This window comes from Homo sapiens, chromosome 2 (genome assembly GCF_000001405.40).
Source record: "Homo sapiens chromosome 2, GRCh38.p14 Primary Assembly".
Lineage (NCBI taxonomy): Eukaryota > Metazoa > Chordata > Mammalia > Primates > Hominidae > Homo > Homo sapiens.
In genome coordinates this window covers 153,297,672-153,314,818 of record NC_000002.12, presented here as the reverse complement: position 1 = coordinate 153,314,818, position 17,147 = coordinate 153,297,672, and the positions used below count along the sequence as shown (strand labels likewise).

General features: G+C 35.7%; 1 protein-coding gene across 2 annotated transcripts in view; it reads right to left on the bottom strand.

Annotated features, from left to right (window-relative positions):
• The window catches only part of GALNT13 (polypeptide N-acetylgalactosaminyltransferase 13), a 1,388,282-nt gene that overhangs the window by 1,141,756 nt on the left and 229,379 nt on the right, over positions 1-17,147 (bottom strand). Inside the window, exon 3 of one of the 2 annotated variants that reach the window (NM_001422883.1) lies at positions 2,886-3,344. The exons of the other annotated variant lie outside the window; for it this stretch is intronic. The gene's annotated coding sequence lies outside the window, so the exon portion shown is untranslated. The remainder of the gene's footprint in view (positions 1-2,885; positions 3,345-17,147) is intronic. 2 annotated transcript variants of the gene reach the window in all.

Here is a 17,147-nt window from a genome sequence, read left to right as displayed (position 1 = left end):
TTTAAATGTAGATGTTTACAGATATAAATTTCCCTCTAAGCACTGCTTTTGTTGCTTCTCATAGGTTTGGGCATGTTGTATTTTTATTTTGTTTATCTCAAAGTATTATCTATTTCCCTGTGGTTTCTTCTTTTCCCATTTGTTAAGAGTATATTAATTTCCACACATTTTTGAATTTTAAAAATTTCCTTCTGTTTTTGACTTCTAATTTTATTCCATTGTTATTAGAAAATATACTCTGTATTATTTCAGTGTTTTTAAATTTATTGAGTTTGTTTTGTGACCTAACATGGTATTTTGGAAGGATGCTCCAAATATAATTGAGAAAAAATAAAATGTATATTCCATTGTTACTGGATGGAATGTTCTATAGGTGTCTTTTTGGTCTAGTTTCTTTATAGCATTGTTCAAATCACCTACTTCTTTGCCGATCTAATGTCTAATTGTTATCCATTATTGAAAATGGCCTCAATCTGTCTCTTCTTCTAGAACTCTCAATATGCATAATATGCTATGTTTGATTGTGTTCTATAGGTCTCTTAAGCTCTGTTCATGTTTCTTCATTTTTAACCTGTCCTCAGACCAGGTAATCTCAACAGATTTATCTTCAAGTTCACTGATTCTTCCTTATGCCTCTTCAAATATGCTGCTTAGATCCTCTAGTGAAATTATCAGGTTATTTCAGTATACTTTTAAATCCAGAATTTCCTTTTAGTTCTATTTTTATAATGCCTATATTTTTATTAATATTCTCTATTTGGTGAGACATTGTTCTCATATTTTCTTAGTTCATTAGTGCTGCTATAATACTTGCCTCTATGAGAGAAGCCAGGCTAAGAATAGTCAACACACAGAAAAGGGTATAACTGGAAAAACTGGAGAAATAGTCATAACCCTTAAAGAAATTTTTTAAAAAAGGAAAAATAAAAATACTCTTGGAACTAGCCAAACAAACATTTTAAGCCTCTAAGTTTATATCTTTCAAGTACTAAATGCCGATGTAATTTTTACATAAGTGTTACATAAGTGTTAATATTTCTATTTACTTTTGCTTGAATTGGGCTACCAAGTTATAAAATTTAAGCAAAAACAATCCTTTAAAATAAATTCTTTTTTTAACTTTTAAGTTCAGAGGTACGTGTGCAGGTTTGTTATATAGCTCAACTTCTGTCACAAGAGTTTGTTGTACAAATTACTTCATCACCCAGGTATTAAGCCTAGTACCCATTAGTTATTTTTCCTGATCCTCTCCCTTCTCCCACCCCGCCACCCTCTGATAGGCCCCAGTGTCTCTTGTTCCCCTCTGTATTTCCATTGTTCTCATCATTTAGTTTCCCCTTATAAGTGAGAACATGTGGTACTGGTTTTCTGTTCCTGTGTTAGTTTGCTAAGGAAAATAGCCTCCAGCTCCATCCATATCCCTGCAAAGGACATGATCTCATTCTTTTTTATGGCTACATAGTATTTCATGGTGTATATGTACTACATTTTCTGTATCCATGCTGCCATTGATGGACATTTAGGTTGATTCCATGTGTTTGCTATTGTGAATAGTGTTGCAATAAACATACTGTTCATTACATATTGTAATCGTTTATGATAGAATGATTTATATTCCTTTGAGTATATATCCAGTAATGAAATTTCTGAGTTGAATGGTAATTCTGATTTTAGGTCTTTGAGGAATTGCCACACTGTTTTCCACAGTGGATGCACTAATTTACACTCCCAACAGTGTATAAGCATCCCTTTTTCTCTGCAACCTAGCCAGCATCTGTTATTTTTTGACATTTTAATAACAGCCATTCCGATTGGTGTGGAGAATTGCTGTGTCCCTATAAAGTAATAATTTTTTTTATTTGATGCCCAATATCAAGTTCTCATATTCGCTGGTAATATTAGTCTAAATTTATTTTGGAACATAACTCATTTACACCATCTCAGACTTGGGTTTGGGATAAAATTCACCCCCTTTAAATCGACCTCTTAAATCAGCTTTATGATTGAACTCTGATGAGCTAAAGCCAGTTTGAACATACCACCACCTCAACGCGATGATCCAATCAGAAATAGACACATGGCCTAGCCCAGTCAGAGCAAACAATATTTTTTACTGTTAATGTATAAAAACACTTTATTTCTTTTTGTTGGATTTGCTGATGTAAGGACATTAACCCTGGAATTTCTAGATTTGATGCTGCCACTTTTGCAAACATGAGGAATAATCAACACACAGAGGAGTGCACAGTTGAAAAACCTATTAAGATAAAGAATCAGAACCCTGATGATATTGTGGAACTATGAATCAAACAGCCCCTGAACATCAGCCTCTGAAATGTTTTTTGAGCCAACACATTTCCCTTCTGTAAAACCCAACTGGATTTGGCTTTTCTTTCACTTTCAGCCAAAAAACTCCCAAATTATTCTTATAAGTGTCTATGTTTGAAAAAAGCCTCCATCATTAGAATAAGTTTTTGGCAAGTTTTCACCTAATGGAAGCATCCCCCGTGTCATGGAAGCCTTAATTCAACTCCACAGAGCTAACCTGTAGCCCAGTCTACATTCTTCTCAGAATTATTACAATCCCTCTGCAGGACAAATCCATCAGGACTGTCCCGTAGAAAGTCAGGATCTTGGGCCAAGGTCAGGTCTTTCACATTCTTATCAAGCCCTATAGTGATAGATTAATAATGACATAAACCTGAATATTCAGACACCATCATGGAAGACCTTAAAAATCACTTTGGCAATTTACATTATTTGTATTTACTTTTGTTCTTTAGTAACAGAATAATATCATCATTTAAAAAATTCAAATGATACACATTTATAAAACAAAAAGTGAGAGTCATCCTTTATCAACTGATTGTCATTCAGCATCTTACCTTATCCATTTACAGAGTTATGGATCTTCATAAAAACATATATACTTCTTAGTGCTCCTCACCTCCTGGTAGTCACATGGTCCCCCTGCCTGCAGGCTGGACTGAATACTTTGCTTCAAAAGAATAGAGTATGGCAGAAATTCTGGGATGCCACTTCTGAGATTAGATTGTGAAAACACCATAGCTTCCTTCTTGAGTGCAGTCTCATTCTCTCCTGGACCACTTGCTTTGGGAGGAGCCAGCTGCAGGCTATGAGGCAGCCCTGTGGAGGCGGCTATGAGTGAGTCTTGAACAGATCCTCTGAGGCCAGCCAACAGCCACGTGAGGGAGGCACGGTCGTGGATCCTCCTCCAGTCAAACGTGAGACAGCTGCAACTCAGCCAACACTTTTATTACGTCATGAGACACCCTGAGCCAAATCCACTCAGCTAAACTGTTCCCGTGTTCCTGACCTAGAATCTGGGAGATAATAAACGTTTGTTGTTTTAAGCTGTTATGTTTCCAAGTAATTTGTTATGCACCAATAGATATCTGATACACTTTCTTAACATGCAGTTCTAATGTGCCTTTCTTCATATTTGGATATTTGTTTTGAATAAAATATACTCTTCCATTTGCGTCTTCCAAGTATAAATCCTACTTCTCCAAATCTTGATTCCAAAACACTAAAATCTTGAGTTTTTGTTCCTTTGAATTAAAACATAAATTGTTCCTATTTATTACCAAAACTTGCACTGTATATGAACTTCTAAGATTGTATGTATTGCTTATGATCCTTTTCTTTACCTTTGCTCTTAAAATTACATTGTTTAAAATTTGTATTCTGTCATAAATTTTATTCCCTGAAAATATTGTCTTCCTTCTTATATATGGGCTTGTTTGGGCCAATGGTGTACGGATGAATTTAATGAACACATTTGAATACATCTAAGCAGAAGATTTAAAAGGCATCACAAGTTTCTTCCAGCACTCTTCTGCCAAACAATGTAACATCCCAGATAGGAATTGATCCTTCCATCTGGGTGCCAGAATAAGATGTCAAGTGTGTCAGAGCTGCCACAGAGATGTAGCCATTCTTGCATCACTGATTTTTTATAACACAAAATTCTTAAGTATAGCTGATCCTTGGGCAATGCAGGGGTTAGGGGAACTGTACCCCCATGCAGTTCAAAATCCATCTGTAACTTTTGACTCCCAGAAAACCTGAGAGTCAGTATAGCAGTAGGCTATATTGCTAATAGCCTACTGTTGACTAGAAGCCTTATTGATAACAGGAATAGTCAACACATGTTTTGTATGTTAATGTATTATATTCTGTATTCCTACAATAAAGTAAGCTAGGGAAAATAAAATGTTATTAAGAATATCATAAGGAAGAGAAAATATATTTACTATTCCTTAAGTGGAAGTATATTATAAAGGTCTTCACCTTCTCATTGAGTAGGCCAAGGAGGAGGAGGAAGAGGAGTGGTTGGTCTTGCTGTCTCAGGGGTGGCAAAATATGGGGAAAAGTCTGCATGTAATTGGACCCAGGCAGTTCATACCCATATTGTTGAAGGGTCAGCTGTATTAATAATCTGAATTCAGAATAAGTTATCATGACCAAGTTAAGCTTATATGCATGGTTGGTTCAACATTCAAAAAAATCAATGTAATTTACTACATTAACAGATAATAGGATAATGAATAAGCAAAGATTATGTAACAAAATTTATCATTCATGCATGATTTTTTAAACTAACTTTTCTCAAATATTCAAAAATAACAAAAAATTAATCCCTGGTAAATTATAGAATAGGTTTCATTAAAGCCATAAAGAATGTGATTTTCAAGATAGCCATAAAACTTACCTATAGGTTTTTAAAGTAAAAATTTTAGAGGAGGACGTATTAGATTTGCTGCAAAAACAAATGATCCCCAAAATCTCAGGGGCTTATGAGTATAGACCATGTTTTTTACTGCCAGTGTTTTTACTAAGGATTTTGGAAAGTTTTTTTTGATAGCCTAGAGGCCATGTTCTAAATTCTGAATGTACAACTATATTCTGAAGGGTTGAGCTTCCAGAAGTCTGGCTTTCAGATAAGTGTTGAGTCACAGAACTGTTTTACTGCCTAGGTATTTACCTAGGTATATGCTTTATAATTATTCTCTAATTTGTAAAACTACAAATTATACTATATGTAATTTCTTTATTATGCTGAATTTTAACTTAAAAAAATCAAAAAATGAGAGTGGATAAGTTTACCTAGGATTTTAGAGTATCTAAGAAAAGAGGTCTCAGAGATGAAACTTATGAACTCTGATTAATATTTGAAGCTTGTCAGAAAAGAAAGTGTTGACAAAGCTAAGGAAAAGAAATTTTGGAAATCAAGGAGAGCATGTGTCATGGAGGTAAAAAAAAAAAAGTGCTTCAAGAAGAAGATATTGATCAACTTCTTCCAAAGTTAGGGAGAAGTGGTGAAAGATGATGACTTTCTATTTGAGCTCTAAAAGGAGCATAGCAATGTTCTATTCCAATTCTTCATTTTACGAATGATATTTTACAAAGGTCTAGAGAAGGGGACAGGACTTGTACATGTTATAGAAAGGTAATTCTGGGAACCCAGATCTCTTAACTCTTACATCAATGCTGTCTCATGTCTCTTCACTAAAGGGTACACTTGTGTGCCTCTTAGTTCAACTTCCTACTCAGAGTCTTAGAAGCAGAAGAGGTTTTGGTTTTGGGGTTTATTTTTGCCAGAGGGAGTGAGGTTGTTATATTTTGAGTTTGTACATGTTTTCCATGTTATCTCTGATAATAGCTTCAGAATACCAAAATTTTAAGTGTCAGTTTTATTTAGAGATGATATCATTTTCTAGACTCTGCCTCTCATTTTTTGGAACCTATGTAATCTCCTAATTCTTTCCTTCAGTTGGATTGCTGAACATTCAGAAAAACCCACATTTCAACTGCTATGGACAAAGCCTCAAACATATTAAATAATAAAAGATCTAATCTAAAAAAAATTTTTTTTCTCTTTCTCTCCTGTATGTCATTATTCTATGTACCATTTTCTGCCTCTTTAAACATATTCCAATTCCTGGTGTTCTTTTTGGATTATTTCTTCTATTCCATTCTACTCATGATTCTTTAATCCTCTGTCATAATATAAAGAGCAAAAATATCATACATTAACAAAACATAATTTGTTCATCGGCGTTCCCCTCTGCTTCTAACATAACATTAGTTCTGTGACTCAACACTTATCTGAGAGCCAGGCATCTGCAAGCTTGATCTTTCAGAATACAGTTGTACATTCAGAATTTAGAACAAGAACTCTAGGCTATCAAAAGACCTTTCCAAAAACCTCAAGCCCTTTACTCCCCAGAGGAGCCATATGACTTACATTATTAATCACATAATATACAAAGCTCAAGGAAGCTTGTTATAGTGTTTCCCTGATCTGAGAAAATTGAACATAGGAAATTCAAATGGAAGTAGAAGGTGGTTCTGTCGATACAGACTTGTGTCATTTGTTAAATAAGTGATTTTATAGCAAAGGAAGAGATAGAAGAATCACACAAACTGAAGCATGCTACCAGCTTAGCAATGCAGGGCCATAAATTAAGTCAAATGGACAAGGTCAGGTTAAATTCTTTGGAAACCATTTAGAAAAGTAGGAAAGTGTGTAATACATTTCAGAAAGATTCCCTTCAAAATATTTTTAATGTTTATTTGCTTTTTAGTTTGAGTGCTTAAAAGATAAGTCTAGGTTTTATTAAGAACTTGTCAGTACTCAGCACTGTTATAAAGAGGTATTACTGTCCATAGAAAATAAAAATAGCCCCCAGGTTTTCATCAGTTTCATCAGCAGCATTTTTTTCTGAATATTTTTGTCTTGTTTTTCAAGTGGGATATTGAATAACTACCTCTGTCTCTCACCCACACAAACACTAATATATCTAGTGTTTTTTCTTGTTCATATCTGTAAATCTGCTTATGTGCAGCACCATCTTGCATGAAATATGCACTATGAAAATAAATGTAATGTACTGAGTTATTTATACATCTGAATAGATGATAGGACTAATAAGGATAACAATTTGAGATAGGTCCCTGATCTTTTATATAGACAGCCAGTATCTTTAATTACATTTTCAAAGTGGTAAAGCTTGTTCTGATGTAAAGTAATGTTAAAAATACTAATTAGAAAAAAAATCTATGATCTCACCACTTTAAATAATACAATTTTGATTTTTTAATTACTTTTGTCATTTTCCATCTGTGTACATATATCCTATAATTTCTATATAAATTGTAGCATAGCCACAATTTACACTGCAATATATGCTAATAAATATTACTTCCATATTTTATAAGATTATTTTATTGTGACTAAATACACATAACATGAAATTTAGAATCTTATTTTAAAGTGTAAAATTTATAATATTTTTAAATATTCATCTTTAAAACTTTGTAATTGTTCATCCAGTAAATTTAATGCCATTTATTTACTATTGCGCAATTGTTAGGTATTTAGGCCATTTCTATTTTTTTCAAAGCCTACGTAACATGATGATGAGCAAATCTGTGTGCATAATTGTAATGCTTTTTTCAAAAAAATTTAAGATAATTTCCCACAAATGAATCACTAGATTCAATTTACCATGCCAATGGCAATGTATCGGCTTAACAATTTCAGAGCTAACCTTTAAAGACCTCTGTGATGAACCATTTTCATAATGCAAATACTTGTTCCAGGTTTATTAGATTAATTGATGCTTTATGTTTCAGATTGTCTTAAATCAAGACATACATGAATGCTGAAAAACGAAAGTTCTCCAGCATACAATCAATGTCATGGATATATAGAAAAAAAGTACCTTTCTATGACTTTCTAAGCGAAAAAAGCATGAGCTGGGTGCGTTGGCTCATGCCTGTAATTTCAGCACTTTGGGAGGCCAAGGTGGGTGGATTGCTTTAGGCCAGGCGTTCAAGACCAGCCTGGCCAACATGGTGAAACCCCAATTCTACCAAAAGGAAAAAATTAGCTGAGCACGGTGGTGTGTGCCTGTAATCCCAGCTACCTGGGAGGCTGAGGCAGGAGAATCCCTTGAACCAGGAAGCAGAGATCACGCCACTGCGCTCTAGCCTGGGCAACAGAGCGAGACTCCATCTTAGAAAGAAAAAACAAAAAGGGAGAGAGAGAATAAAGCACGATCTCCTATGCTTAATGGTCCCTATTTCTATTTTTCAAAAGAATTATTATAATATTATGTTTTAAATAGCACAAAAATCGCATATAGGGTATAGGAATGCCTGGCAGTGATTAGAATGATGGCTTTAAATGCAGTTGCAAATTTTCAGACTTGCCTTTAGCATTGGGTAAACAAGCATATAGCTAATCATTTTAGAATTGTTTTTATGAAAGGAAACTGTAAATATGAATGTACTCTAGTAAATAAATTGGACAGATGTTTAGCAAAAATAACTGGAAATTCGATGCTAGTTGTCATATGATTAAAAACTGAATTCTAAATTTTCATCTATATGTGGCTGGCTATATATAAGCTTATCAAATATTGTATCGCACATGAGTAATTCACACTAAATACATTCTGACAGAAAAAAAAGAAGCTGAAGTTAGTTCACCTTTTTTCAACATGCAGCTGCTCATGACAGCAATTATAAAATCTTCCCCAATTTTTCTGAGTATTTTATCTTCATGCACACAAGAAAGCAGGAAACGACCCAGCAGTGTTTGCTGGGGAGTGGGCAACTTGGAGAAGGGGACTTGAGGAGGGAAGTGAGTCACCAGAATATTCTCAAAGCATGTGGGTCATAAAGAAATCCCCAGTCAACAGATTAAACTTCTGTTTACAATGCTGAGGTTTAAAATACTCAGCATCAGCCGTTCATGCCACATGCTCGACTGGGTGCTCCACTCCTTTTCTGGTTATGAACACAGTGACCATTCCAACGTTTGCCCTCCTGGGTGGGAGAACACGGCAAAACCTATGGGAAGTATCAAAAGTCCAGTGAAGATGCTTTAGCAAACATTTTCCTGGTGGCTAAAATTCCTTTAAAAGGAGATAGAGTCCCTACTTTATATTTCATTATGAAACCTAAAATGTAAACATAAAAAATAAAACCTGTCATGGGGGAAGTAATGAACTCTCTAAGGGGTAAACGGAATGCTCAACACTGCCTGTACAACAGAATTGCTCCTAAAATATTCTAATTCTAGGACCCCAGATCAACTGGATCAGGATCTCTAGGGGAGGAGCCTAGGGAGTGGCATTTTGGAAAGTGCTCCAAACTGTAAGGTCTATCCAGGGTTTACAACCAGAGTTGTAAACCATTCTGTTTCTATTCAATTTGTACAACCCTGTACACTTTCCAAAACATCTTCCCATTTGTTATCTCATTTGATCTTTCTTAGCAACACAATGAATTACAGTTCAGAGATTGGTATCATTATTTTACAAATAAAACACTTCGAAATCCTGAGAAGTTATGAAACCACCTCCAATAGCACAGTGTGCAGATTTTAAGATCAGTAAAAGGCAGCAGAATACAAGGTGGGTAAATCTGAAGGGGTTTGATGACAGATACTCCTAGAACCTAGGAGGCCTGTGTAGAACAATGAGATTGACGCTACCAAAGACAAATTTTGTTCCTGTTTTCATTTCTACCATAATTGCTATGAACCCAGAACCTATATGTTCCATCACAGAATACTGATAAGGTTGGACAGTCAGCAAACCCACAGGACACCACAATACACGAAGCACCTGCAAGTTGGGTTCCTTGAGAACCAGTGGTGGGTTGGCCTTTTACTCTCCTACTATTCCAAGCTAGTGCCTAACAAATATATTTTTGAATGCCTGAATCAAAGTAAAAATTTAAATTACCCCCCAAAATTATATTTTTCCAAAACTGTAAATGTGATTATATAATCCTCAGAAAAACTAATTAAAAATGTTTCAGCCTATACCCACCCCTTAACCCTCAGCTAACCCACTACAACTTTCTCCACAATCCCTCTAATGTGCCTTCTATCTCCAGCCCTCTCCGCAAATGTTTTTTATTATCTATTGCACCAAAAAAGAATCATTTCTTTTTATGAGAGGAAATGAGGAAAACTGACTTGGAATGTATAAGGTTAATACCGATGGGCTGGAGTACACATGAAACCTGTGCCCATGCCCATTTTATTTATTTTTTATTTGCCCAGCTGGGAAATGAGTGAATTCCTAGAAAACAATCACAAAGCTGTAGTATTTAACACCTCCCTCTCCAAGATTTTGCCTTAATTATGGGGAGGGAAAATTAGCCACTAGGTTATTCCGTCATAAGTCACAATAATTCTGCTAATGTCTCACTGGTAGCATATTGGTGGTTCTAGTCCCCATGAGGCTGCTGTGAGGGAGTCCTATTTATACCCACCCAGTGGGGTCTCAGTTTAAGCATCAATTTTCAATGAATTGGAGAATACTTGAGTAACTTCTTCCTTCTCTTATTTGTCCTAGCACCTCAGGCTCAAATTTTATCCTGTTCCTTGATGGTCAATCAATTTTATTTCTTTGTTGCCTCAATCCAATTAAGTTCATCTATAGGTGGAATCTGCAGGCTCAGCAGAGAAGCAGCATCCAATCCTTACTAATTTCTACAAATTGCCCTCATGTGAAGCTGACTTAGGCATTTTTGAATATCTACTTCCCATTCTATTGACCCTTGGTAAATGGTGTGCCATAGTTACTTGTCTAGTCTGGACTCAAAAACAGAACAGTGTTCTCTTGCTCACATTTACTAATGGTGGTGGCATCTGATAATGAGTAATGGTCCAGTCTACCTTACCAACCATATAGACAGTGAGCCAGTCCCCCACCACCCCAGTGCATGCCCAGAGACCCCAGTCTCCAACTTGAATCCACACAAATCTTATGTTGGACCTGGCAGGTTCTTCTGAGAATAGTAGTTTCTGAAATGGCTGCTGGCATTGTACTCACCGGCAATGTCTGAAGATTCTGGCCTTTATAAGCAATTTCAAACTGTCTTGATCACAATTCCTACAAAAGCAGCAAATCTCTTGGGGTATCTAGTCTCAGGGGTGTTAGAAAGAGGCTGTGAATTCCTCTATCTATCCCCACCCCTGCCAAAAAAAATCTTGACAAAATTCAATATATTTTTCATGAAAAAACCTCTCCATAAATTAAGTATAGAAGGAATGTACCTCAACACAATAAAGGTCATATATGACAAGCCCACAGCTAACATTATTCTCAACTTTGAAAAGTTAAAAGTTTTTTCCTCCAAAATCAGGACCAAGACAAGGATGCCTACTCTTACCACTTCTATTCAACATAGTACCAGAAATCCTAGCCAGAGAAAATAGGCAAGAGAAAGAAACAAAAGGTATCTAAATTGCAAAATAGTTGACTGTCTGTTTGCAGACAATATGCTCTTATACATAGAAAACCATAAATACTCCATCCAAAAGTGTTAGAAAGAATGAATATATTCAACATGTTTAATGAAGCAGCAGGATACAAAATCAACATACAAAAATAAGTAGTATTTCTCTACACTAACAATGAACTTTCCAAAAAAAGAAATCAGGGGAACAGTCTCATTTGTAATAGCTACACCAACTAATAATAAAATAACTTAGGAGCAAATTTCACCAAGGAGGTGAAAGACCTGTACACTAAAAAATATAAAACACTGATAAAAAAAAATGGAAGAAAATGCAAGTAAGTGGAAAGATATCCTGTGTTCATGAATTTCCAGAATTAATATTGTAAAAATGGCCATATTACCCAAAGAAGTCTACAGATTCAATGCAATCCTTATCAAAATTCCAATAACATTTTTCACAGAAATAGATAAAACAATCAAAATATGTATAGAACTATTAATGACTCCAAACAACCAAACCAATCTTCTGCAAGAACAAAGCTGGAGGCATCACACTACCTGACTTCAAAATATACTACAAAGCTATAGTAATCAAAAACACATGGTATTGGCCTTTTAAAAAAGACACACAAACCAATGGAACAGAATAGAGAGCCCAGAAATAAACTCATGCATTTACAGTTAGTTGACTTTCTACAAAGGAACCAAGAACACACATTTAGGAAAGGATAAGCTCTTCAATAAATGGTGTTGGAACAACTGAATAGCTTTATACAGAAGAATAATCTCATAACATATACAAAAAAATCAACTCAAAATGAATTAAAGTCTTAACTGTAAGACCTGAAGTTGTAAAACTACTAGAAGAAAACACGGGAAAATTTCCATGACATTGGTCTGGGCAATTACTTTTCTGCATATGAACTTAAAAGCAAAAATAGACAAATGGGATTACATAGAACTAAAAAGCTTCTGAACAGCCAAGAAAACAATCAACAGACTGAAGAGACGACAACTTACGGAATGTGAAAATAATATTTGCAAACCATATATCTGATAAGGGGTTAATATCCAAAATATATAAGGAAATCAAAACAACTTGATAGTAAAAAAACAAAAACAAAAACAAAACCCTGATTTAAAAATAGGCAAAGAAACTGTATACACATATCTCAAAAGAAGACATACAAATAGTTAACAAGTATGTAAAAAAAATGCTCAATATAACAAGGAAATGTGAATTAAAAGCACAGTGAGCTCACACCCGTTAAAACCTCACACCTGTTAGAATGGCTATTATCAAAATGACAAAAGATAACATTGATGAGGATGGGGAGAAAAGAGAGCTGTTGCACACTTTTTGGTGGGAATATAAATTAGTACAGCCATTATGAAAACAGTATGGAGATGTCTCAAAAAACTAAAAGTATAACGTAACTACCATACGATCCAGGTTTACCATTACTGAGTATATAGCCAAAGAATAAGAAATTGATTATGTCAAGGAAATACCTGTACTTCCATGTTCATTGCAGTCTTATTCATAATAGCCAAGATATGGAATCAACCTAAGTGTTTATCAGCAAAGGAATAGATAAAGAAAATGTGATATACTATACACACACACACACACACACACACACACACACACAAAGTGGAATACTATTCAACCTTAAAAAAGCAGGAAATCCTGTCATTTATGACAACATGGATAAACCTGGAGGACATTATGTTAAGTGAAATAAGCCAGAAACAGAAAGACAAAGACCATATAACCTCACTTATGTGTGAACTTTTAGAACTCGTGGAAGCAGAGAACTGGGGTGGTGGATGTGGTGAAGAGATCTTGGTACAAAGGATACAAAGTTCCTGTTACACAGGAAGAATAAGTTCAAGAGATCTACTGTTCAACACCATGACTATAGTTAATAACAATGTACATATCGTATTCTTAAAAATTGCTAAGAGAGTAGATTTTAACTCTTCTCACCACAAAAAGATAATAAATATATAAGGTAATATATACATTAGCTTGAATTAGCCATTTCACAATTATATATCTATCAAACCAATGTGTACACAATACATATATACACCTTTTATTTGTCAATTACATAAATAAAATAATTTTAAAATAATTTAAAATTTCTTAAGGAACTAGGTGTTCATGGGAGGAAATCTTGTGAGTTCTGCAGACTCTTTTTTTTTTTCTTTTTTTTTGAGAAGGAGTCTCACTCTGTCACCTAGGCTGAAGTGCAGTGGTGTGATCTCAGCTCACTGTAACCTCTGTCTACCGGGTTCAAGTGATTCTTGTGCCCCAGCCTCTCGTGCAGCTGGTAAGGTCTCACTCCGGTCGCTCAGGCTGGAGTACAGTGGCATGATCACGGCTCACTCCAGCCTCAACCTCCTGGGCTCAGGTGATCCTTCCACCTCAGGCCCCTGAGTGGCATGCACCACCACACATGCCTGGCTAATTTTTGTATCTTTTTGTAAAGACAGGCTTTCATCATGTTGCCCAGGCTGGTCTCAAACATCTGGCCTGAAGCTATCTGTCCACCTTGGCTTCCCAAAGTGCTGGGATTACAGGCATGAGCCACCATGCCCAGCCTATACTCTTAATTTAATGAATTATCATAAGATTGATTATTTCAAAATTTTATAATTAATATCAGTGTGATCTTCATGATTTTCTTTAATTTTTCCAATAACCACTAATTCAAGCACAATATCTCTTTCTACCAATACACGTCATTCATCTTTCCAAAATTGTTCTAACAATTTGGCAGTTATGGTACATAATCTCTCAGCTGTGGGTCTAGAGAGATGACTTGGACAGCTCTGTGCCTATCTAAGATCTAGAATTATGTCCCACAACCTCCAAAAGAGTAGCTTTTACAAATTGTTATCTATGTAGTCTTGATTCAAAGTAATGACATTGGTTTGAGGAAATGTAGTCAGCAAATAAGAATTTTAACCAAAACTCAAAATATTTGCTTACATAAAAAATGATAAGGCTCCAAATACATAGTCCTCAGCAATCCCCTTTGCTTTCCTGTCCATTTCCATTAAACTCCAGATGCTTCAGACAGTCTTGTCACAATTATCCCAGCTTTCCCTGTACATCCAGCCCTCACATAAGTATTGTTTTCTTTTTCACCCTTCTGCAATTCCTTTACCGTATACTGTAGCTTGACCCAACATCTCTCATATCAATTAAAAACACTCCCTCTAAAGGAGCTGAGAGAGTGAGAAAAATTCGACTATCACAGGATTCTAGAGAGAAGAAAGTGGGGAACCTACCCATGTTAATTCTTATTGCACCTAACTAGGGGAGCGCAAACTAAAGCACAATTTGAAGTATTGTTTCTTCTCTTCACCTGTTCCTTAGTAACCAACCCACTTTTCCTTCTTGATATAAAATCTCAGTAACAGTAATTTGAGAACACATTAGCTGTTTCCTAACAGCTTGTGGAATGTGGCCCTTCTGAGCTCTAGAACAGCTGTGGAATCCAGGAATAGCTGTCAGAATATTGCCTCAATTTGAGACCTACCGGTGGCAACTGTGGCTGTACTCGGCACCACGGGATGATGTTAGTGGGTGATAAGGCAATGCAAATCTTGTGAAATTGTCAAGGACAGAATGAGAACAAAAGACTACCAATGGGCAGATGGCTGAAATGCTACAAATATGGAAAAATGAACAATTCAGGTATAAAAATTGAAAGTGGTTGAATGAAAATTTGATTCAATGCCAACGAGCAACTGTGTTGGAGATCCTCCATTCAGCCCTCAAGGTCTGCTCCCTGCCTTTTCCCACCAAGCTCTGCTCCAAAGGGCTGATCTGTATTGATTGTGTCCACAAGCTCCCTTGACTTTTGGCTTCCCATTGGGTTTTCCAAAGAGAAAGAGGAAAAGGAAATCACTGGATGGGAAGAGAGAGAGACTGGCTAAGGATTTTATTTTTCCAGCTCTCTGCTGCATCTTCGAAAAAGGCTATAGGGCTGTCAGATAGCCTTGGCTGTGAAGATTCTCTTTCTGGTTTCTTCCTTGCCCCTTCAGGTCTGGGTTGACTAACAGTTCCTATTATTGCTAGCCCTTTAGTACTGCAATATCCCTTTTGAATTTCCCTATAAGCCCCACCCATTCTTTTATAAGTGATTTCTTCATTCAATTCCCCTCAAGTACCTAGTTTGAGTGTGTTGTTTCCTGGCAGCATCCTAGTTCAGAATTCTTAAAAGCAAACAAAATAAAAGATGACTGTGCTCTGAAACAACGTTGCAAATAATTTCTCAACAAAATTTTTCTTCGTTCTTATATCTTCCTACAATTTTCTGTCATCAATATTCTTTGTACTATGACATATCCTCCTTTACCTAGTCTAAAGGAAAAAATTCTGTCACATAAAATACAAAAGAAACCTTATTCAAAATTCTATTATTTGGATTTGGATTGCATTATATTTTTTGGTATGGAGTGGGGAATACATTTGTCTTCAAAGATGTCTTACGTTTGTGCTCCAAAATCAGCTTGCTTTTGAGGGTTGAGAGTAAAATGGACAACCTAGAAAATCATTGAATTGTAAGAAAAAATATCTATTCCTTTATGAAAATGTGACTGTAATTTTCATAAAGTATTGATCTTACCTTCCAGTAACATACTCATGAATACAGAGACAGAATTATTTGAAGAATATCAGGGGAGCTCCCAACTATTCCAAATTATCTCTCTCTTGCAAGTGCTAAACTGCTTGAAAGGTTTTCATAAGTTATTCCTTGGGTTTGGTTAAGCATTACCCCATCTTTCTGTCCTCTATTCTCTTCTTTGCAGATACATTATTCTGGATAGCAGAAACCATAAAAAGAATCACTAACAGCTCAAAGTGAATTTTCTATTGGATTCTTTCTTGTTATCAAGGGTAAGGAATTCAGAGTGCCTAACAGAACAGGGGTTTGTAAATGTGAGAAGCTGTACTAGCAACCAAAGAAGGCAAATATAACAATTATTCATTAATCTCCTGCTAACATTGAGTTCACTCTGACATAGGAGATCACCACTCTTATAGTATTTGCTGCACTTGGGTAACTGTAAGACCTAAAAATGTCTTCAGGAACTGAATCTTTAATAGTGGAATATCAGTCCCAATGACAGATGGTTTGAGCAGGAGGTGTCATGTGATCTTCAGTCCGGTCACGAAGGTGACCTGATAGTCCGTAGATATGTACATCTGTCTTTGAGTGTGTGATCTGCATGGCTTCTCTGCACAGTTACACCCTAATTTGCACACTTTCAACTCATGTTCCACCGTTAAAGTCACAGGCCACCTAAGCATCAAGGAAGTAAAAAAGTAATCAAATTTAGAAATAATAGTAGTGATAGGTAAAGAAGAACCAGAATAACAACAGAAGCAGCAGTAACAAAATTTCGGTCCTGGGAGAAAGAAGGCGCACCTTTAATTCTCTGAGATAACCTGCTCATTTGTATGAGTACATTCCAACTTTCTCCTAAATTACATGCTCAGAACCAGCCTAGTTTAGCTGCAAGAACTCCTAAGAATTCCTTTATGCCCAGGTGTGTATTCTATTCTTGAATCATAATGTTTTCTCTCTCCATTGGATTTGTTGAATCACCCAGTTTGAAGGATTTTTCTAATTCAAACCTCTTTTCAGTCAGCACATTGTGACACCTTCATTCAGAGAGACCTGCTCTTGCTATCTACAAAAGGAATATTTAACTCTGCCCTAAACTCAGCACATCCACTATTGTTAGCCTCAGCAACTGCACTGCAACAATTTAGTCCTTTAGTGGAGCCTGAATGACTGCTCATTATTTACTTTCTTTTCTCATTTAGTATCATTTGT